Source organism: Homo sapiens, chromosome X, assembly GCF_000001405.40.
Source record: "Homo sapiens chromosome X, GRCh38.p14 Primary Assembly".
Lineage (NCBI taxonomy): Eukaryota > Metazoa > Chordata > Mammalia > Primates > Hominidae > Homo > Homo sapiens.
In genome coordinates this window covers 41457307-41480986 of record NC_000023.11, presented here as the reverse complement: position 1 = coordinate 41480986, position 23680 = coordinate 41457307, and the positions used below count along the sequence as shown (strand labels likewise).

The 23680-nt window shown below is 47.2% G+C and overlaps 1 protein-coding gene and 1 pseudogene across 2 annotated transcripts in view, besides 1 other annotated feature; one reads left to right on the top strand and one right to left on the bottom strand.

The window, feature by feature from the left end:
* Positions 5240-5831: an enhancer, noted in NCBI's record as "NANOG-H3K27ac-H3K4me1 hESC enhancer chrX:41334409-41335000 (GRCh37/hg19 assembly coordinates)". NCBI's record gives its function as "activates a minimal SCP1, AML or CMV promoter by ChIP-STARR-seq in naive and primed H9 embryonic stem cells {active_cell/tissue: H9 hESC(naive and primed)}" and the evidence as "EXISTENCE:reporter gene assay evidence [ECO:0000049][PMID:30033119]".
* The window catches only part of NYX (nyctalopin), a 28310-nt gene continuing 9964 nt past the window's right edge, over positions 5335-23680 (bottom strand). For both annotated transcript variants that reach the window (NM_022567.3, NM_001378477.3), the window contains one exon: positions 5335-7496. In NM_022567.3, coding sequence (NP_072089.2) covers positions 6088-7496 — 1409 coding nt within the window. In that variant the 3' untranslated portion in view covers positions 5335-6087. The remainder of the gene's footprint in view (positions 7497-23680) is intronic.
* On the top strand, positions 8239-9026 carry GEMIN7P1 (GEMIN7 pseudogene 1; annotated as a pseudogene).

Below are 23680 nucleotides of genomic sequence, written 5' to 3'. Positions count from 1 at the left end.
GCAGACTCGATCCTTGCCTCTGCAGAGGAAAGAATTTGTCCAAGGGGCATAAGGCAGAGTGAGAGACCTAGGCAAGTTTTAAAGCAGGAGTGAGAGTTTATTAAAAAGTTTTAGAGCAGGAACAAAAGGAAGTAAAGTAGACTTGGAAGAGGGCCAAGCAGGCAACTTGAGAGATTCAAGTGCATGGTGTGACCTTTGACTTGGGGTTTTCTATGTTGGCATGCTTCCGGAGTTGCATTACTTCTCCCCTGAGTCTTCCCTTGGGGTCAGCTGCCTGCATGCGCAGTGGCCTGCCAGCACTTGGGAGGGGCTGTACGCACAGTGCATTTACTGGAGTCGCATGCATGCTCACTTGAGGCATTTTTCCCTTACCAATCCAGTGTTCCTAGAGGAAGGTTAAACTCCACCATTTTGCCATTTTGTGTGCATGTTTGAGTCCACTCGGCCAACTCCTGAGATCTTATCGGGAAGCTGCTGATCACCAGTTTCAGGTGTTTTCTATCTATTGGCAGCCTGCCTTTCCCTGACACCAGCTGTGACAAATTATTATTTGAGCGCCACACTTTACCAACTGCCTGCCCATCACTTGATGGCCACCTGCCATTCCTGGTGGGGGGAGAGCCCTCTTCTGCTCTGCTCATGCCTGACTACCTACCCTAACATTATCATAGCTCACTGCAGCCTCCAACTTCTGGACTCAAGTGATCCTCCCACCCCAGCCTCCCTAGTAGCTGGGACTACAAGCATGTGTCACCACACCTGGCTAATTTTTTTGTTTGTTTTTTTTGTACAGACAGGGTCTCACTGTGTTGCCCAGGCTAGTCTAAAATGCCTGGCCTCAAGTGATCTCCTGCCTCAGCCTCCTGAAGTGCTGGGGTTACAGGCATGAGCCACCACACCCAGCCTGGAGCATTACTAGTGTTCACTGATATTCCCAGTTCCCCTCTCCTGGGTACATAGGGGAATCATGCTTCCATTTCTCAGTGAAATTAAGTCTGGCTATGTGTCCTTTTTGGTCAATGAGATTTGAGCAGCAATGTGTGTCACATCTGAGTGGAAGCATTTAAGAGGGATGCACAGGGCGGGTGCAGTGGCTCACACCTGTAATCCCAGCACTTTGGAAGGCTGAGGTGGGCAGATCACTTGAGGTCAGGAGTACAAGACCAGCCTGGCCAACATGGTGAAACCCCGTCTCTACAAAAACACAAAAATTAGCTGGGCATGATGGCGGGTGCCCTCCCAGCTACTTGGGAGGCTGAGGTGGGAGAATTGCTTGAACCCAGGATGGGGAGGTTGCAGTGAGCCAAGATGGCACCATTGCACTCCAGTCTGGGCGACAGAGCGAGACTCCGTATCAAAAAAAAAAAAAAAAAAGGCCGGGCACGGTGGCTCACGCCTGTAATCCCAGCACTTTGGGAGGCCAAGGTGGGCAGATTACAAGGTCAAGAGATCGAGACCATCCTGGCTAACACGGTGAAACCCCACCTCTACTAAAAATACAAAAAATTAGCCAGGCGTGGTGGCGGGCGCCTGTAGTCCCAGCTACTCAGGAGGCTGAGGCAGGAGAATGGCATGAACCCGGGAGGTGAAGCTTGCAGTGGGCCGATATCGTGCCACTGCACTCCAGCCTGGGTGACAGAGCGAGACTCCGTCTCAAAAAAAAAAAAAAAAAAAAAAAAGAGTGATGCACAACTCTCCCAAGCTCTCCTCTTCTGTGGCAAACCCTAGAGCCTCGTGTTTGGATAACAATGTCCTAAGATGGTGTACCCTTTGTCAGCCTGGGTCCCTGAATAGCTACAATGAGCAGAGCCCTGCTAATGATCCTACAATGGACAGGTAGCATGAGCAAGAAATAAACCTCCGTAAGCCACTGAGCTTTGGGAGTTATCTGTTACCGCAGCATAATATGGCCCATCCTGATTGGTACACATAGTTTTGCTTAACAGAATCTATAGTACCTACTATTTACTTAAGGTACCATGTAGCCAGTGATGGGGTGAGAGACTAAATGAACTCAAAATGGAAAGTCTTCACTCCCTGTTTTCTCACGAGAGCTCATAACGGCCACAAATTCACTGGCAACTCATTCCAAGCAACTCTGGGTCTGTTTGGCAGTAAGTAGCTCCCACGTTCCCAGAATTCTACTGGGCTGAGTAGCTCTATAAAAACCTGTTTCCCTGGAGGCTATTTTAATGCTGATACTCCTTCAAAAACATTCAGCCAAGCAAATGTCCATTAAAAAGCTGGCCATCTAACCACTCAGGCAGAACCGGAGCAGCATTTTGAGGCTGACTCTCACAAACCCGCTCCAAATGAAAGGAAGGACATTCCTCTCAAGGCAGCACCTTGTTCCTCAGTAACCCAGGCTGCATGTCAGCCACGGACTTCCATGGATACCTCAATGCAGAGATCTGGTCTCCAGGATTCTCGTGATCTTCACTCAGTTACCATGGTCACAACACTCGGTTTAAGCAAACAACAATTCTGCCCTCATCTGCTTGTCACTTTTCAAAAGTAAGACATTTGGAGAACAAATTCACTTTGAAATATTGCAATCAATCAACAGGTTTCTAGTTTTGAGTATTGTGACCAAACCAAAGCAAGCCATGACCTAGAAACCTCATTTTTCGCCCATAGGAAAAAAACATGACTGCTTAATAATTTTGATAACTCTTAAAATTTCAATATAGAGTGAATCTTTTTTTTTTTTTTTGAAGAGAAGAGGTTTTGTTCTGTTCCCCAGGCTGGAGCACAGTGGCGCAATCATAGCTCACTGTAACCTCAAACTCCTGGCTCAAAAGGTCATGATATTTGCAACTAAAACTGTTAGTAAGAAATAATAATAATACGGAAAGAGAGAGAGAAAAAGCAAATATGGTAAAATGTTAACAATTGGGAAACCTAGGTAAATGGCCAAAGTGTTCATTCTTGCAACTTTTCTGTAGGTTTGAAATTTTTCAAAATAAAAAATCACACATGCTCCAGATCAGTAGCTTTCAAATTTTAACATAACCCACAATAAAATATAAATTGTACACAGGAACCCAGTACACACACACATACAAGTATAATTTGAACAAATACATATATATTAAATAAAAAGTTCTGTCGGGCGCGGTGGTTCACGCCTGATAATCTCAGCACTTTGGGAGGCCGAGGCGGGTGAATCACAAGATCAGGAGTTCGAGACCAGCCTGGCCAACACAATGAAACCCCGTCTGTACTAAAATTACAAAAATTAGCCGGGCATGGTGGGGGGTGCCTGTAGTCCCGGCTACTCGGGAGGCTGAGGCAGTAGAATCGCTTGAACCCGGGAAGCGGAGGTTGCAGCGAGCCGAGATCACGCCACCGCACTCCAGCCTGGGCAACACAGCGAGACTCCGTCTCAAAAAAAAAAAGGTTTCACAAAACAATACTTAGTCTTATAATATTACGTGATACTCTGTGACTTTTCTATTCTATAATTTTTTTTTAAACGCTGGTTTTTGTTTTTTTTTTTTCCAGACAGGGCCTTGCTCTGTCACCCAGGCTGGAGTGCAGTGGTATGAACACAGTTCACTGCAGCCTCAACTTCCTGGGCTCAAGACATCCTCCCATCTCAGTCTCCTGCATAGCTGGGACTATTGGTGCTCGACACCATGCCAAACTAATTTTTTATTCTTTTGTAGAGATGGGGTCTCACCATGTTGCCCACACTGGTGTCAAACTACTGGGTTCAAGCGATCCTCCTGGCTCAGCTTCCCAAAGTGCTGGGATTACAGCCATGAGCCACTGTGCCCGGTCTGGTTTTTTAAGAATTTAAAACCCATTGAGTTAATGACCATTAATGGTTGAAACATTTGAATACACCTGTCCTCAGCAGTACTTTGTGCGACACTTCCAATACTTAGTATTACACAGAGACACAGGAGTGTCCCCATGAAGAAGTGACTGCTTGGCCGGGCGTGGGGGCTCACGCCTGTAATCCCAGCAGTTTGGGAGGCCGAGGCAGGCGGATCTCCTGAGGTCAGGAGTTCGAGACAAGCCTGATCAACATGGAGAAACCCTGTCTCTACTAAAAATACAAAATTAGCCGGGCGTGGTGGCACGTGCCTGTAATCCCGGCTACTCGGGAGGCTGAGGCAGGAGAATCGCTTGAACCCAGGAGGCGGAGGTTGTGGTGAGCCAAGATCGCGCCACTGCACTCCAACCTGGGCAACAAGAATGAAACTCCGTCTCAAAAAAAAAGAAGTGACAGCTTGGTGCACCCCGAATTCATTTGGGTTTTCTTTTTTTTTTTTTCAAGACAGAGTCTTGCTCTGTTGCCCAGGCTGGAGTGCAGTGGCGCAATCTCGGCTCACCACAACCTCCGCCTCCCAGGTTCAAGCGAGTCTCCTGCCTCAGGCTCCCAAGTAGCTGGGACTACAGGTGCGTGCCACCATGCCTGGCTAATTTTTGTATTTTTAGTAGAGATGGGGTTTCACTTTGTTGGCCAGGCTGGTCTCGAGCTCCTGACCTCGTGATCCACCTGCCTCAGCCTCCCAAAGTGCTGGGATTACAGGTGTGAGCCACCGCGCCTGGCCTTCATGTGGGTTTTCAAAACCCACCTCTTCAAATATAGAGAGGACATTAAAAAGATGACAATTTCCAGAATGTTGACAAATGCAGTCATAGCATGCAGTGCAGAGAACAGCTTGGGTTCTTGTGTAAGTGGTGAGCAGCATATGCACTTTTCTTGACTTGACTGCCTTACAGTCTGTCAGGAATCCCTGCCTGTTGTGACCAGCTTAGGACGGTTCTGCTGCAAACCACAGAGATGGCCACTGCAGACCAGCAGAGCCAGCATTTGCAACTCAGCCTGCAAAGCCTTATTCTTGCAGCATATGCTAAACGAGCTGCTGATCCTGAGGCAGACAGAACAAACACCGTTTGTTCCCACTGCAACCCTGAGAAAAGCTGGGTTTGGTAGGGCCCCTAGGTGGGATTTGGTAGCCCCGCCCTCAGGCACAGCACACCCAGAGCCATGCATGCTTGCTGCAGGCCTGGCTGGCCTTTGCCCTTGCAGTCAAGCCGGGGGGAATATAGTTGGCCAACCCCCAACCTGAGAAATCTCTAAATCCCCTTTCCCAGCTACTGGCTGCCTCCTTCCCTCTTGGCCGTTAGTCAGCCCCGAAGTGTGCAGCCCATAATAATTTCCACACCTAATGGAATCATCCAAGCTGGAGCCTCCCTGCCCCGCTCTCTGTGTCTTCCGGACATTCATCCCACAAAACGCTAAGAAAAAAGGATTGTGTGGCCTCTTGGGAGATTCACAATGAATGTTAGCATATGAAAGACTCTGAAAAGTCCAGCAGTAGAGAAACCGGTTTAACCTTTTTTTTTTTTTAATCCTCGGACTTTACAAATTTATTTGTCCACAAACACACCCCCTGCTGCCCCTTTTTTCCCTACCCTGCCCTAAAGTTCCTTTGTGGCTAGGGCCAGCCCTGGGAATAACTGTGGAGTAAATGAACTGGATCTTTGTTTTAAACGCCTCCTAACACATCTCAGACCCCAGGAACCACCGCCACCCTTTGTCTTAAATCTCTCTCCCATCTCCCTTCTCTCACGTCCTGCCTACCTTCCTGAATCCTAGTGTTTCCAGGCCCCTGGAGAGGAGGAGGAGGATTGTGGTAGAAAACAAAGGACTTCGGTGTAATGGGTTACCCCGCCAGGAGAAATGGGACGGCTCTTAACTACTTAGCCAATGGAAGTCTCTCTAATTCAGGCCTTGCAGGCACTGTTGCCTGGAAGATGAGGGGAAGGGGAGGGGAGGGGAAGGGATGTGAAGCCCTAGAAGCTTCCGATTCCTAGTCTTCCCACCCGAGGGCCCACGTTCATTCTTGCTTCTCTTTTCCAATGGATGCCCGTGTGACAAAAGCAGAAATCCATACCATCCTCCCCCTCGAGTGGCACGTCCCTGTGTTCTCCCTGGGGCCATCTCTGGAGGCAAACGGTTCCTTCCACCCTCCACTGGGATTTTCACCTCTGCCCTCCATTCCGGCTCCTCTCCCCTTACCACAAACACACTCAAGCCCAGTTAAGCAAACTTTCCCCCCTCTGGCCAGGTCAGTCCATCTGCAGGCCAAACACCACGTGCTGGGCCACGCTGGGCAGGAGACAAGAGGCGAGGAGAAACCAGGGCTGCCGGCCCGCGCCTCCCACCCCACGGGAGGAGAGGCTGTCGGACAGGGAGGCGTTGGCCAGCCCCCCAGTGGTGTTGGCCGCCTCCTCCACCGGGACCCTCGGGGCCAGCAGCTTGGAGAGGAGGCTGCTGAACCTGCTCACGGTGGTGGCCGCTGGTTCTGGGGACGGGCCTGGACTGGACGTGGTGAGGTTCAGCTCCTCGGGGTCCACACAGAGGCCATCGGAGGAGCGCCCGAAGGTCACCTGGCTGAGGTCCAGGCCGGCCACGGAGCCCGGGGAGGCGCACGGCACGTCGGTGACACGTCCGGAGCCCTCCATCCAGTCCCTCAGCCACTCCAGACGGCAGTCGCAGCACCACGGGTTGCGGAAGAGGAAGAGGCGGCCCAGGAAGAAGCCGGGCTGGAAGGCGACCCAGGCGAGCACGGTGAGGCGGTTGCCGTTGAGGTGCAGCGCGAGGAGACCCGAGAGGTTCTGGAAGGCGCCCTCCTCCACGAAGGCGATGCTGTTGCGGTCCAGGTAGAGCAGCTCGAGCTCGGCCAGGTCAGCGAACCAGGCGCGCGCCACGCGGTCCAGCGCGTTGCCACCCAGGTTGAGCGTGCGCAGGCGCCGCAGGCCGCGGAAGGCGTCGGCCGGGAGCTCGGCCAGCAGGTTGTCGTTGAGCAGCAGATGCTCCAGGACGCCACAGTCCCCGAAGGCGCCAGCGTGCACGGCACGGACGCGGTTGGCCTGCAGGCTGAGCGAGCGCAGGCGGCGCAGGCCCTGCAGCGAGCTGGAGGCCACCGCCTCGATGCGGCCGCGCTCCAGGTGCGCGTGCGTCAGGTTGGCCAGGCCGCGCAGCGCGCCCGGCACGCGGCGGAACAGGTTGTCGAAGGCGGCGAGTTCGCGCAGGGCCGGCAGTTCGGCCAGGAGGCGCTCGGGCACGCTGAAGAGGCGGCAGGCTGCTAGGTCTAGGCGGCGCAGGCGGCTGAGCGCCGCGAAGGTGCGCGCGTGCAGGTAGCGCAGGTCGCCGTTGTGCGCCAGGCGCAGCTCAGCCAGGCGCGGCAGGCCCTTGAAGGCGCCGGGCGTGATGAAGGACAGGTTGTTGTGGCGCAGCGACAGGCGGCGCAAGGACGGCAGCGTGCCGAAGGCTCGCTCGCCCAGGAAGCGCAGGCCGTTCCGGTCCAGGTCGATGGAGACCGCCTCGCACGGGAGCTCGGCCGGCACCCGCAGGAGGCCCGCGCGGTCGCAGCGCACCGAGCAGCCGCGCTCCACGGTGCTGCAGGCGCAGGCGGCGGGACAAGCGCGGGCGCAGGCCCCCACGGCCCAGGCGCTGGGCAGGCCGAGGACCACCGCTGCGGGGACAGGGTGGTGGGGAGTCGGGAAGGAGGAGAAAAGAGAAAAAAGGAGCAACCGTCAGCCAAAGGTCACCCCAGGAAAAATCCTGCCTGTCCGGGCAGCAGGATGCAGGCCCTCCACCGAGTTATCTTGTGTCAGGCACATGGCCTCTTCCCACCTCCGCGGCCTCACACGGGTTTATCCACCTAAGACACCCGCTCCTTTGCTTTCCGGTTACCTTAATCAGCAAAACCCAGCTGCAATCCCTGCAGCTGACCCCGTTCTAAACTCCCTCCTGCCTGTACCACCACTTGTGTGCTCCTAGTGTGGCAGGCCAGGACTCACTAATGCAGGCCTCCATAACTACTGTTTCGGCACTGACTGAATGGTTAAGTTAAATATTAAAAGCTGACCGGTCGCAGTGGCTCACGCCTGTAATCCCAGCACTTTGGGAGGCCGAGGCGGGCAGATCACCTGAGCTCAGGAGTTCACACCAGCCTGAGCAACATGGTGAAACTCCGTCTCTACTAAAAATACAAAAATTAGCCGGGCGTGGTGACGGGCTCCTGTAATCCCACCTACTTGGGAGGCTGAAGCACGAGAATCCCTTGAACCCGGGAGGCGGAGGTTCCAGTGAGCTGAGATCACGCCACAGCACTCTAGCCTGGGCGACAGAGTGAGACTCCATATCAAAAATAAATAAATAAATAAATAAATTTGCCCGTGACACGTGGGTTGGTGGCGGTGGCGCAGGCGGAACCCAGGCTCCGCGGCTCGGGGCCTGCCCTGGCCTCTACTGCGGGGTGCCGGCGGAAGTGGGGGCGCGCACAGTAGCCACGGACCTCGCCAAGACAATGCAGGCTCCAGTGACCTTTCCTGTGCCTGTGCTCCGGCTGCCCCGAGGCCCTGATGGTCTCAGCCGTGGCTTTGCCCCTGATGGACGCAGAGCCCCCCTGTAGTCAGAGGTTCTTGAAATCCAGGAGTGTTCCATAGCTCAAGAATCCTTGGAATCCCAGAAGCAGCGGGCCCGAGCCGCCCTTCGGGATCGTTACCTCCGCGGCCTGCTGGCCATGGTGAGTCATCAGGTGAGCTTCACATTGCACGAGGGTGTGCGTGTGGCCACCCACTTTGGAGCCACCGACATGGATGTGGCCAACTTCTATGTGTCACAGCTACAGACTCCCATAGGTGTGCAAGCAGAGGCGCTGCTCCGATGTAGTGACATTATTTCGTATACCTTCAAGCCATAAAGATATTGTTCACCTTTTTGCTTGAGGCTAAGCCACTGTATCCCAGGCCTCCCAATGTTCCCGAGCCAGGAACTCTGGGCTCCATGGAGTTATGAGCTCCCTTGGAATTTTGAGCCAAGCTTTAAGGAAGTCTGGACTCCTGAGACCTCCTGAGTCTAGTCAGTAAAATTCTGCAACTCTAAGAATTCTAAGATCCCATTGGAAGGAATGCTCTACCTCACAGAACTCTGAACTCTACGGAAATATGGGCCTGATGCCATTGCCTGAATACCAGGGCATCGGAGTGTGGTGATAAAGGAGGACAAACTGCACAGGGGGAAGTTGTTTATTAAAGAGGTTGCAAAGTTCAGCCACCCTGAAGATACTCCCCAGTGCTCCCCTCTTGCTAAAGAACCAGTTACCCCAGGGGAAAAAAAAAAAAAAATACATATATATATATACACCAGTGCCCTTATACAAAGGCTGGAAGGTAACAAAAGCCCACCAAGAGTTTTGCCCAAGCCTTTCCTGGGCCTTAAAGCATGACAAGATTATGAAATAATTCTTAACAGGACCCATTTAGGATTAAACAAGTTTTACTGGGGGTCTAAACTCCCCAGACCTCCACAGACAAGTTTATTGGGGGTCTGGAGGAACTCCCCAAACCTCCATGATTTAGCAGGAGACAAAATAAGGGTAATCACCCCAGCACCTGGACCCATCTAGATTAAGTAAATTTACTGAGGCTCCAGAGGAAGGTCTTCAGGACTCAGACCTTAGTTATAGATTAAAAGAAGTTAATCACATGTCTTTAGATGAATGCACACTTACACGTAGACATGTAGCTTAGAAGGTATATAAACTCTGGGCCAGGTGCGGTGGCTCACGCCTGTAATCCCAACACTTCGAGAGGCCGAGGTGGGCAGATCACCTGAGGTGAGGAGTTAAAGACTAGCCTGGCCAACATGGTGAAACCCCGTCTCTACTAAAAATACAAAAATTAGCCGGGCATGGTGGTGGGCACCTGTAATCCCAACTGCTCAGAAGGCTGAGGCAGGAGAATTGCTTGAACCCAGAAAGCGGAGGTTGCAGTGAGCTGAGATAGTGCCATTGCACTCCAGCCTGGGTGAAAAGAGTGAAACTCCATCCCCCCCCTCCAAAAAAAGAAGGTATATAAGCTCTGGAAAAGTTCGTAATTTTGAGTTGGTCTAGAGATATTTTCCAGGCCTTTTCCCTGTAACCAGTTACAGAAATAAAAAACTCCCTCCTTTCCCAGTTCATCTGCATCTCATTATTGGGCCGTGAGAAATAGCAGCCCCACCCTCAGTTTGGTCGGGGAACACTAGAATGTGGCCTTGAGGGTTTGTTGTCTGCAGGCCCTGGGGGATCTCCGAGGACATCGCTGTGGCCTTCACCCTAGATCTGCGCTGCCCAATACAGTAGCCACTAGCCCCGTGGGCTACTGAGCATTTGAAATGTGGCCAACCCAAATTGAGATGTGCTATGCATATAGAAGACACACCAGATTTCAAAGACTTAAAAAGAGTAAAATACTGCATCAATGATTTTTTTTTTTTTTTTTTTGAGACAGAGTCCTCACTCTGTCGCCAGGCTGGAGTGCAATGGCGCTAATCTCGGCCCACTGCAACCTCCGCCTCCCAGGTTCAAGTGATTCTTCTGCCTCAGCCACCCGAGTAGCTGGGATTACAGGCATGTGCCACCACACCCGGCTAATTTTTGTATTTTTAGTAGAGATAGGGTTTTGCCATATTGGCCAGGCTGGTCTCAAACTCCTGACCTCAGTTGATCCGCCCACCTTGGCCTCCCAAAGTGCTGGGATTACAGGTGTGAGCCACCACACCCAGCTGCATCAATGATTTTTATACTGATTACATGTTACAATGGTATTTTAGATATATTGGGTTAAATAAAATATTAAAATTAATGTTAACTGTTTCTTTTTACGTTTTTTAATGTGACTACTCAGAATTTTTAAACATGCGGCTTGTGTTATATTTCTGTTGGTGCTACTATAGTTCCTCTCACCAGAAGAATTCAATTCCTGAACACCCCCATTGAGTAAATTATGCCTCAAGGAGGAGGGAGAATTAGGGAGCAGGAGATTGGGAATGAAAGAAAAGCCTGTCAATCAATTTTTTTTTTCTGTAACAGTCACTAAAATTAAGCCAAAAGGACAGCATACTAAATAAAATCAATGACCTTCTTGCACATCTCAAAAGAATTAATTATAGACACGCTGCAGTTAAGTTCCATTCACCAGTCCTTGCCTGCTAGAAACTTTTTTACATCATCATGGGAGAGTAAGTTGCTTATAAATTACTTTCATTTTGAGCATTTGAATGGAGGATCAGATAAAGACTTCAAAAGCCCACAAGTAGGCTTGCCACCTGCAGCAAAGTAGAATGTCATGAGGCTGGGCACAGTGGCTCATGCCTGTAATCCCAGCACTTTGGGAGGCAGAGGCGGGTGGATCACCTAAGGTCAGGTGTTCGAGACTAGCCTGGCCAACATGGTGAAACCCTGTCTCTACTAAAAGTACAAAAATTAGCCGGGTGTGGTGGCATGCACCTATAATCCCAGCTACTCGGGAGGCTGAAGCAGGAGAATTGCTTGAACCCAGGAGGCAAAGGTTGCAGTGAGCCGAGATTGCACCACTACACTCTAGCCTGGGTGACAGAGTGAGACTCCGTCTCAAAAAAAAAAAAAAAAAGTAGAATGTCATCGTGGCCTGCTACCCTGTGGAAGCCAGAGGCCCCAAGCCCAATCTTGAGGACCAATGGAAAAGACAGCATGGTAGATGCACAATGTTTATTTCATGGTCAGGGGCAGCTCTATCTGAAATTCCTGTAGGAGAGCAAACGGTACCCAGATGTAAATATGCCCACCGATTCATAATTTCTACCCCTCCTCATCAGTACTCCCGAATTCCTAGCAAATACCCCTGGCCTGCCACTCACATCCTCCCATTCTGTACACATTACCCGGCCTTGCCTACCCAAGTCCCTGCAGGAACCTGAAGATGTGGCCCCAAAAGGGATATGTAGAATACACTTGCTGCCACCTCTGTAGCTCTGCTTGGTTTCCAGTGTCTTTTCAGGTCATCTGTTATGGACACTCCATGTTTTCTAAGCAGCTGAGAAGTGGATCCAGCCCTCTCAGACACAGCTGAAGAGCACTCAGGCCTTTGAACAGCCCCTCAGTTGTAAACTGGAGCCACTTCAACATTCTGATGTTGAGGATGCCTGACTTAGCTTTTCCATCTCCCTAAAAACTGAGATAGACACCAAGCTTCCAGCAAGGTTCTTGGGCTCTGTGCTGAGCCTGGCTGTAAACAGGGCTGCTGCTGGGCTGGGGAGACACCCTGCTAGGGAGACAGGGCCAAGAATATAACCTTAACTGCAGGCCTCAGCTGGAAAGAGGCAGAACCTTTTTCTATCAACCCTTCCAACTAGGTCAAGTATCAGGCATCAGGTTTCTTTACAAATAGTCCTTCATTCTACTCTCTTCTTTCTAATTAAGGAAAGTACACTCAGTCATATGACTCATGTTTATACCCCACAATAGCTAACACTGTTCCAGGCGCACTGTATGGCTCAATAAACGTTTGTAGAATTAAATGATGCCTTCCTATGCAAGGATTCCTCCATTTATTTTAAAAATTGTTTGCTGGCCAGGCATGGTGCTCATGCCTGCAATCCCAGCACTTTGGGAGGCCAAGGCGTGCAGATCACTGGAGTCAGAAGTTCAAGACCAGCCTGGCCAACATGGTGAAACCCCATCTCTACTAAAAATACAAAAATTAGCCAGGTGTGGTGGCGCGTGCCTGTAGTCCCAGCTACTCTGGAGGCTGAGGCATAAGAATCACTTGAACCAGGGAGGCAGAGGTTGCAGTGAGCTGAGATCACACTACTGCACTCCAGCCCAGGCAACAGAGCGAGACTCTGTCTCAAAAAAAAAAAAAAAAAAATTATTTGTCAAGGAACTCCTGGGATTACAACAGTCAGGATACAACCAATTTGTATAATGCAAGAGATCAGAAAGGTAGCTGCCTATGTTTAAAAAACATATATGAGAAGAGTGAGACTGAAGCTTCTCAATGTACACTGCTTTTAGCCTTTAACATTTTGAACCATGTGGCTATGTTACCTATTTCAAAAAATAGATTAGAGTTTAAACTTTAATTAAACACTCAAGAAATTGTCACTATTAGAGACTTATTTTTAGCCTCTGAAACTTTGATAGCCATTAGGAGCAATAACTAATTTACTGGATTATTTAGTGACATTTAAATTAAGTCAAGGCCGGGTACAGTGGCTCACACCTGTAATCCCAGCACTTTGTGAGGCTATGGCAGGAGGATCGCTTGAGCCCAGGAGTTTCAGACCAGCCTGGGCAATATAGTGAGACCCCTATCTCTATAAAAAATAAAAAAATTAGCCATGCACAGTGGTGTGCACCTGTAGTCCCAGCTACTCAGGAGGCTGAGGCAGGAAGATTACTTGAGCCCAGGAGTTCAAGATTACAGTGAGCTATGATTGGACCACTGAACTCCAGCCTGGACAACAGAGCAAGACCTTGTCCTCCCAAAAAATAATAAATTAAGTCTCCAGGCGCGGTGGCTCATGACTGTAATTCCAGCACTTTGGGAGGCAGAGGCAGACAGATCACCTGAGGTCAGGAGTTCGAGACCAGCCTGGCCAACATGGTGAAACCCCGTCTCTACTAAAAATACAAAAATTAGCCAGACGCAGTGGCACACGCCTGTAATCCCAGCTACTCAGGAGGCTGACGCACAAGAATCGCTTGAACCCGGGAGGCAGAGGTTGCAGTGAGCCAAGATCATGCCACTGTACTCCAGCCTGAGTGACACAGTGAGACTCCATCTAAAATAATAAATAATAAATAATAATAATAATAAATTAAGTCAAGTAAATTCTCAGAACTGACAGCAAAACTGTATTGGTTTGTTCAGTATAAAGACTAAGTACATGTTTAGTGAGCCAGAAAAGCAAGGCACCAAAAAAAAATTCTTTTAATAATAATATATGTGGATGAGTTCTACTGCAATCATGGCAGAGTAGCTTCTATCAGACTAACATTCCCACTGCTATCTATGGTAGACTCTGGACAAAATTTTTTTAAAAAAATTGTTTTAGCTGGGCGTGGTGGCTCACACCTGTAATCCCAGCACTTTGGGAGGCCGAGGTGGGTGGATCACCGGAGGTCAGGAGTTCGAGACCAGTCTGGCCAACATGGCGAAACCCTGCCTCTACTAAAACTACAAACAAACAAAAATTAGCCTGGCATGGTGGCAGGCACCTGTAATCCCAGCTACTTAGGAGGCTGAAGCAAGCAAATCTCTTGAACTCGTGAGGCGGAGGTTGCAGTGAGCCAAGATCACACCATTGCACTCCAGCCTGGGCAACAAGAGCGAAAATTCATCTCAAAAAAAAAAAAAAAAAAAAAAAAAGACCAGTCTGGCCAACATGGCGAAACCCTGTCTCTACTAAAACTACAAAAAAAAAAAAAAATTAGCCAGGCATGGTGGCGGGCACCTGTAATCCCAGCTACTCGAGAGGCTGAGGCAGGAAAATTGCTTGAACCTGGGAGGCAGAGGTTGCAGTGAGCCAGGTTCACGCCATTACACTCCAGCCTGGGCTACAAGAGCGAAACTCTGTCTCAAAAAAAAAAAAAAATTGTTTTAAAGCACCAGGGAACAACCAAAACAGGCAATCAGAGTCGATGCAACCCTTCAAAGAAGAGACACAAACTAGGTGAGATGTGCATCTAACTGATTTTTCCTCTCAGGATTTTTTTTTTATTTTTTATTTTTTTAGACAGGGTCTCTTCTCTCCGTTGCCCAGGCTGGAGTGCGGTGGTGCAATCTCGGTTCACCACAGTCTTGACCTCCCTGGGCTTGGGTAATCCTCCCACCTCAGCCTCCCAAGTAGCTGGGACTACAAGTATGTACCACCATGCCCAGCTAATTTTATGTAGACAAGGTATCACTATGTTGCCGAGGCTGGTCTTGAACTCCTGACCTCAAGAGATCCTCCTGCCTCGGCCTCCCAAAGTGCTGGGATCACAGGCGTGAGCCTCTGGGCCCGGCTCTCTCAGGGCAATTTCAAGTCCACACAGCACATGGTGAGTGAAGCTAAAGCAGAAAGCAAGCTGACAGCTTAGAGGTCAGCATTTATAGCTGCCACAGTGGCTGGAAATTGAGGAGGGAAAACATGGAAAAAGGGAGCCTCAAAAGAGGAGCCACAAAGTTAGTATACAGGTTCCCCTTATGTCCTTGGCTGAGTTCTGAAGGGCATATGTGTGGGATGACTCCAGGGAGCCCAAGGGGAAAGCAAGAACTAAACACCAAAAGACCTAAACAGAGATTTTAGCAATTGCCCAGTGACAGGAGGCAGTTTAAGAGTTCAAGGTCCCAGCTGGGCGTGGTGGTTCACGCCTGTAATCCCAGCACTTTGGGAAGGCGAGGCAGGCAGATCACTTGAGGTCAGGAGTTCGAGACCAGCCAACATGGTAAAACCTCATCTTTACTAAAAATACAAAAAAAAAAAAAAAATAGCTGGGTGTGGTGACAGGCACCTGTAGTCCCAGCTACTCGGGGGGCAGGTAGCTGGGACTACAGGTGGAGGTTGCAGTGAGCTGAGATCATGCCACTGCACTCCAGCCTGGGCAACAGAGCAAGGCTCTATCTTAAAAAAAAAAAAAAAAGAGTTCAAGGTCTGCCAAGTTAGAGGAGCTTGTCAAATACCTTGAGCTTTCCACTGAAACCCCAAAGGACCATGCCTCAGGAGTGAAGACCATTTCCCAGGACTAAAGGCAAAACTCAAGTAGTCCTACCCTTAAAAAGCCTAAAACCAAGGCTTTCAGGGAACAAGGTGATCTGCCAGTAATTTAACTGAATGCCAGAACAAAATTCTACACTCTTCAACAGAAGACAAGAGAATCCAGAGTTTCTACCACTGGCTCCGCAGTATCCAGTGTACAACCAAATACTAGTAGACATGTGAAGAAGCAGCAAACATGACACTTGTCAAGAAGGAAAAAAAAAACAGCAGAAGCAGATTCAGACAGCCCACATGTTGGAATTACCAAGCAAAGATTTGCTATAAATATGTTAAGGAATTTACAGGAAAAGATAGGGATCATGGGCAAAGACATGGGGAATCTGAATTTTAGAAGAGGTATGGAAACTCTAAAAAGGAACCCAGTAGAAATCTTAGTACTGAAACAATAGCTGAAATTTTAAAAATTATTGAATAAGATAAATAGCAGATTAGACACTGCAGAAGAAAATCTTCATAAACTTGAAGAGAGGCGAGTAGTTATTAACCAAAGTGAAGCACAGAGAGAAAATAAAAAGAAGACTGGGGGAAAAATTATCAGAGCCTCAATGACCTGTGGAACAATATCAAGCAATTAGACTAATATACATGTATGTGGAGTCTCAGAGGAGAGAAGATACAGAATATGGCTAAAAGATAGTTGATGACAGTTTCCAAATTTGATTAAAACAAGAAGCTTAGCAAGCCCCAAGTAACATAAAACACACACACACACACACACACACACGCACGGCCCATCATAGCCAAAGATAGAAAATTCTTAAAAGTATCCAAAACAAAAAGACATATTACATAGAGTAAAAAACAGTAAAAGATAATCACAGTTATGGTCTGAATGTTTATGTCCGCCTTCCAAATTTATGTGTTGAAATCCTAACCCCCAAAGTGATGGTATTAGGAGATGGAGACTTTGAGAGGTACTTAGGTCAGGAGAGTGGATGATCAAGAATGGGATTAGTGGCTGGGCACAGTGGCCCATGCCTGTAATCCTAGCACTTTTGGAGGCCGAGGTGGGTGGATCGCTTGAGCCCAGGAGTTTGAGACCAGCCTGGGCAACATGGCAAAACCCTGTCTCTACACAAAAATTAACTATGTGTGGTGGCATGTGCCTGTAATCCCAGCTACTTGGGAGGCTGAGGTGGGAGGATCGCTTAAGCCCAGGAGACAGAGGTTGCAGTAAGTGGAGATCATGCCACTGAATTCCTGCCTGGGCCACAGAGCCAGACCTTGTTTTAAAAAAAAAAAAAAAGAATGGGATTAGTGCTCTTTAAGCGCTGAATGAAAAGCAAAATTTGGCAACCTAGAATTCTCTCTCTCTCCAGTAAAAATATCTTCAGAAATGAAGGGCAATAGAGATATTTTCAGGTAAACAAAATCTGAGAAAATTCTTCTCCAGCAGATCTTCTGCACAGGAAATGAAGACATTCTTCAGTCTGAAAGAAAATGCTGGTAGATGAAAATTAGGTCTACAAGAAGGAATAAAGAGCGATGGAAATGGTAAGTATGTTACTAAATATAAAAGACTACTGGCCGGCACGGTGGCTCACCCCTGTAATCCCAGCACTTTGGGAGGCCGATGGGGGGGTGGATCACCTGAGGTCAGGAGTTCAAGACCAGCCTGGCCAACATGATGAGACCCTGTCTCTACTAAAAATACAAAAAATTAGCCAGGCATTGGGCTGGACGTGGTGGCTCATGCCTGTAATCCCAGCACGTTGGGAGGCCGAGGCGGGCAGATCACTAGGTCAAGAGATCTAGACTATCCTGGCCAACATGGTGAAACCCCGTCTCTACTAAAAATACAAAAATTAGCTGGGTGTGGTGGCGCACACCTGTAGTCCCAGCCACTCGGGAGGCTGAGGCAGGAGAATCGCTTGAACCCAGGAGGCAGAGGTTGCAGTGAGCCGAGATTGCGCCACTGCACTCCAGCCTGGGCAACAAGAGCAAAACTCCGTCTCAGAAAAAAAAAAAAAAAGAGACTACTATTTCTCACCTTAATTGCTTAAAAGACAAGTGACTATTTAAAACAAAAATAACAATGTATTGTGGAGTTTAAAACACGTAAATGAAAACTATGACAACAATTACATGAAGGATGAGAAGGGAGGTGAATTGAATTGTACTCTCATAAGGATCTTACATTATACTTGAAGCAATACAAGATTAATTCAAGGTAGACCACGACAAGGATGCATAGTGTAATCCCTGGAAAGTAAAAAGAATCTCAACACCTACCTCACACCATACGCAAAATTCATTTTAGATGGACCGTAAACCTAAATGTAAAAGCTAAAACTTACAAAGCTTCGTGGAGATAACACAGGAGAGTATCTTTGTTACCTAGAGGTAGGTGAAGATTTCTTGGGACAAAAAAAAAGAGAGAGAGAAGAAGAAAAAGCAATAACCATAAAATTAAAAATAATAATAATAAACTAGACTTCATCAAAATTTAAAACTTCTTCTCTTTCAAAGACACTGCAAAGTAAATGAAAAGACGGGCAATAGACTGTGAGAAAATATTTGTAAGTCACATATCTCATTAAAGACTTGTATTTAAAATATATGAAGAACTCCCAAAACTCAATAAGAAAATAATCCAATTAATAAATGGGCAAAATATTTGCAGAAACATTTCACCAAAAAAAGATAGACAGAAGATAAATAAGCACATGAAAAGATGCTCAACATCATTAGTTGTTAGGGAGATACAAATTAAAGTAGCCACCTATTAGAATGGCTAAAATTAGAAAGACTGGCCATACTATAAGAAGACAGCAGCCTGCAGCCCAGGAAAGAGCCATCACCAGAACCCAACCATGCTGGCACCCCAATCTTGGACTTCCAGCCTCCAGAATTGTGATAAATACATTTCTGTTGCTTATAAGCCACCCAGTTTATGGAACTTTGATACAATAGCCTGAAGGGACTAAAACAGGTGCCAAGTGTTGGAGAACATGTGGAACAGGTGGGACTGTCTTACACTGCCGGTGGAATGTAAAATGGGACTTCCAAATTGGAAACAATGAGGTTGTTTCTTTAAAAGTTAAACATATGCCTACCTTATAATCCAGCCATTCTACTCCTAGGGAAATAAAAGCGTATGTCTATACAAAGACTTTGGCAGCTTTATTCTTAATAGCCCAAAACTAGAAACAGTGCAAACGTCCATCAAGAGTTGAATGGGCAAACAAATGATATAGCCATACAGTGGAATATTACTCAGCAATAAAAAGCAATGACTATTGGATAATTCACAAAAGAAGATATACAAATGGCCAAGAAACATGAAAAAATGCTTGGCCAGGCACGGAGGCTCATGCCTGTAATCCCAGCACTTTGGGAGGCCGAGGCGGGTGGATCACGAGGTCAGGAGTTCAAGACTAGCCTGGCCAATATAGTGAAACCCCGTCTCTACTAAAAATACAAAAATTAGCCAGGCGTGGTGGCCCGTGCCTGTAATCCCAGCTACTCAGGAGGCTGAGGCAGGAGAATTGCTTGAACCCAGGAGGCAGAGGTTGCAGTGAGCCGAGATCGCACCACTGCACTCCAGCCTGGACGACAGAGTGAGACTGTGTCTCAGGAAAAAAAGAAAAAAGAAAAAATGCTCAACATCATTAATGATCAGAGAAATGCAAATCAAAACCACAACGCAAAACCACCTTACTCCTGCAAGAATGGCCATAATCAAAAAATCAAAAAATAATAGATGCTGGCATGGATGTGGTGAACAGGGAACACTTCTACACTGCTGGTGGGAATGTAAACTACTACAACCACTATGGAAAACAGTGTGGAGATCCCTTAAAGAACTAAAAGTAGAACTACCATTTGATCCAGCAATCCCACTACTGGGTATCTACTCAGAGGAAAAGAAGTCATTATATGAAAAAGATCCTTGCACGCACGTTTATAGCAGCACAATTCGCAATTGCAAAAATATGGAACCACCCCAAATGCCCATCAGTTAACAAGTGGATAAAGAAACTGTGGTGTATATATATATATATATATATATGACGGAATATTACTCAGCCATAAAAAGGAATAAATTAATGGCATTCGCAGCAACCTGGATGGGACTGGAGACTATTATTCTAAGTGAAGTAACTCAGGAATGGAAAACCAAATATCATGCATTCTCACTCATAAGTGGGAGCTAAGCTATAAGGATGCAAAGGCATGAGAATGATACAATGGATTTTGGGGACTCAGAGGGAAAGGGTGGGAGGGGGTGAGGGATAAAAGACTATAATTTGGGTTCAGTGTTTGTTGCTCAGGTGATGATTGCACCAAAATATCACAAATCACCACTAAAGAACTTACTCATGTAACCAAATACCTCCTGTTCCCCAAAAACCTATGGAAATTTTAAAAAATGAAAGAGAAAAAAATAATGTTAAAATTGCCAAAAAAAAAAGGAATGACTATTGATACCTGCAACATGGATGAATCACGTGATAGATAATTCTGCTGAGTGAAAGGAGCCAGACCAAAAAAAAAAAAAAAAAAAAAAAAAAAAAATACATACTGTGTGACTCCGCTTACATAAAATTCTAGAAACTGTAAACTAATCTATAGTAACAGAAAGATCAGGGGTTGCCTGGGGATGAGTAGGGAGGCAAAGAAGGGCAGGAGGGAGAGATTATAATGGGGCATGATTCTTGGGGGTGATGGATATGTTCATTATCTTGATTGAGGTGATGGTTTCGTGAGGATACACTTTAAATATGAATTGTATGTATGTATGTATGTGTTATATATATGACTATACAGAATGTAAAAATAACTCCTACAAATGAATAATGAAAAGACAACTAAGTAAAAATCGGTGATTGCTTTCACTTTGCCAGCAAAGAAAAAGAATAAAATTTTTTAAAATTTATTTTTAAAAAATGGATAAAAGACTTGAATGCTTAACAAAAGAATAGGCTGGGTGCGGTGGCTCACGCCTGGAATCCCAACACTTCTTTGGGAGGCCGAGGTGGGCAGATCACTTGAGGTCAGGGGTTCAAGAACAGCCCCGCCAACATGGCGAAACCCCGTCTCTACTAAAAATACAAAAATTAGCCGGATGTGGTAGCGGGTGCCTGTAATCCCAGCTACTCAAGAGGCTGAGGCAGGAGAATCGCTTGAACCCAGGAGGCAGAGGCTGCAGTGAGCTAAGATGGCACCACCGCACTCCAGCCTGGGTGACAAAGTGAAACCTTGTCTCAAAAAAAAAAAAAAAAGAAAAAGAATATATTACATGGCCATTAAGCACATGAAAAGGTGCTCAGCATCATTAGCCATCAGAGAAATGCAAATTAAAACTGCAGTGAGATTTTCTGCTAAAATTCAAAAGACTGATAACCCCATATGTTGATGAGGATGGAGAACAACTAGATTCTTTCACATAGTCAATGGGAGTGTAAAATAGCTCAATAGCTTTGTAAAACTTTGGCAATATCTATTAAAGCTAAATATATGCCTATCATATGACTCAGCAATTCCACTCCTAGGTATTTGCCCAAGAGAAATGAAAAAAAAAAAAAAAGTCCACAAAAAGACTATAGAAGAGTGTTCATAGAGGCTAATTTATAATTGATAAAAAGTAGAAATTACCCAACAGTAGAATGGAGAAATAAATTATAATTTATTTGTACAGTAGAATACTACTCAGCAATAAAAGGAACAAACTACTGATACAAGCAATAAAAACATGTTAACAGAAACTTGACACAAAAGAAACATACTATACGATGACTTTTTGTTTTCTTTTTTCTTTTCTTTTTTTTTCCCCAAGACAGAGTCTTGCTCTGTTGCCCAGCCTGGAGTGCAGTGGCATGATCTCGGCTCACTGCAACCTCCGCCTCCTGGGTTCAAGTGATTCTTCTGCCTCAGCCTCCCGAGTAGCTGGGATTACAGGCGCCCACCACCACACCCAGATAATTTTTGTATTTTTAGTAGAGATGGAGTTTCACCATGTTGGTCAGGCTGGTCTCGAACTCCTGACCTCAGGAGATCCACCTGCCTCGGCCTCCCAAAGTGCTGGGATTACAGGCATAAGCCACCACACCCAGCCTATATGATGACATTTACGTGCAGTCCTAGAACAGAGCTGCTGGGAGTGGCTCGGGGCAGCTCAACAGAACAAGACCTACAGATGGAAGCACCCCCAAATGACAGCAAATATCTACAGGACATAGTTTAGGTACTGTGGTAACATATGTTATCTGGGTAATATGAACATGTATAATGCTACTCAAATTAATTAAATTGTATGGGTTTCTTTTGCTCTTAAAACAACGAACTTTGTTGTTGTTGTTGTTGTTGTTTGAGACGGAGTCTCGCTCTGTTGCCCAGGCTGGAGTGCAGTGGCGCCATCTCAGCTCACTGCAACCTCCACCTGCCGGGTTCAAGTGATTCTCCTGCCTCAGCCTCCCAAGTAGCTGGGACTACAGGCACCTGCCACCACACCTGGCTAATTTTTTGTGTATTTTTGGTAGAGGCGGGGTTTCACCATGTTGGCCAGGCTGGTCTCGAACTCCTGACCTTAAGTGATCTGCCCACTTTGGTCTCCCAAAGTGCTGGGATTACAGGCGTGAGCCACTACGCCTGGCCAACAACCAGCTTTTAATAAGAATTTGCTCAGGGCCGGGTGTGGTGGCTCATGCCTGTAATCCCAGCACTTTGGGAGGCTGAGGTGGGTAGATCACTTGAGGTCAGGAGTTTGAGACCAGCCTGGCCAACATGGTGAAACCCCATCTCTACTAAAAATACAAAAATTAGCTGGGCATGGTGGCACGCACCTGTAGTCCCAGCTACTCAGGGGGAGAGGGGCTGAGGTAGGAGAATCACTTGAACCCGAGTGGCAGAGGCTGCAGTGAGCCAAGATCATACAACTGCACTCCAGCCTGGGCAATAGAGTGAGACTCCGTCTCAAAAAGAATTTGCTCAGGGCTAAGCTTGCCATAGACATTATTCCATTTAATATGACAGCCATGCAAGATAAGGATTATTCTTCTCTTCTCATGAAAGAGGAAACTGAGGTTCAGGACGGTTAAATGATGCCAACCTTTGTTTGTTTTTCACTATACTGTACTATCTCCCACCCCACACACCTAGCCTTTCTGAGATTTCATTGCTTTAACTGTAAACTGAAGAAACTGCATACTATGGTTTGAATATGTCCTCCTAAGTTCACGTGTTGGAGACTTAAACCCCACTGCAGTAGTGTTGAGAGGTGGGCTCTTTAAGAGGTGGTTAGGTCGTGAGGCCTCTGCTCTCATGAAGGAATTAATGTTATTATTGCAAAAGTAGATTTGTAATAAAAGCAGGTTCAGCCCCATCTTGCTCTCTCACACTTCCACCTTCCACCATGGGATGGCGCCGCAGGAAGGCTTTTACTTGATGTGAGCCCCTCAATCCTGGACTTCCCAACCTCCAGAAATGTAAGATATAAATATCTGTTCTTTATAAATTGCCCAGTCTCTAGTATTGTTACAGCAGCACGAAATAGACTAAGACACTGCACATCCTGGTCTTTGAGAGCCCTTGTAGCTTTCATTTTCCACGGTCTGACAGCAGGTGTTGCCAGCCACTGCCTCTAAGAAAAAAATACCCTACTCAGAGCCCCATGTGTCTCTGCCATCTCCTCCCAACCACAGCTGTTTGCACCGCAGTTGAACACTTTGACCTAAACAGAGCTAATCAGATTCATTCTTTCTCCGTGAAAATGGAATAGGCAGTGAATAACTAGTCAGTAAGGTGATGTGAGCACCAACCTGTCTAGCTTTGGGGCTGGAGTTTGTACCAAAGCCATGTGCAGGTCAAAGTTATGGGGGAGCAGGAGCCAAGGGCAAGGTGAAGAAGCTGGTGTATTGTCTTAATCAGTTCAGGCTGCCATAACACACTACCGTAGACTCGGTGGCTTACAAACAACAGAAATTGATTTCTCACAGTTCTGGAGGCTGGCAAATCCAAGAGCAAGGCAGATTCTGCGTCTGCCAAGGGCCCACTTCTTGGTTCATAGACAGTTGTCTTCTCACTGTGTTCTCATGTGGTAGAAAGGGCAAGGGAGCTCTCTGAGGCCTTTTTTTTTTTTTTTTTTTG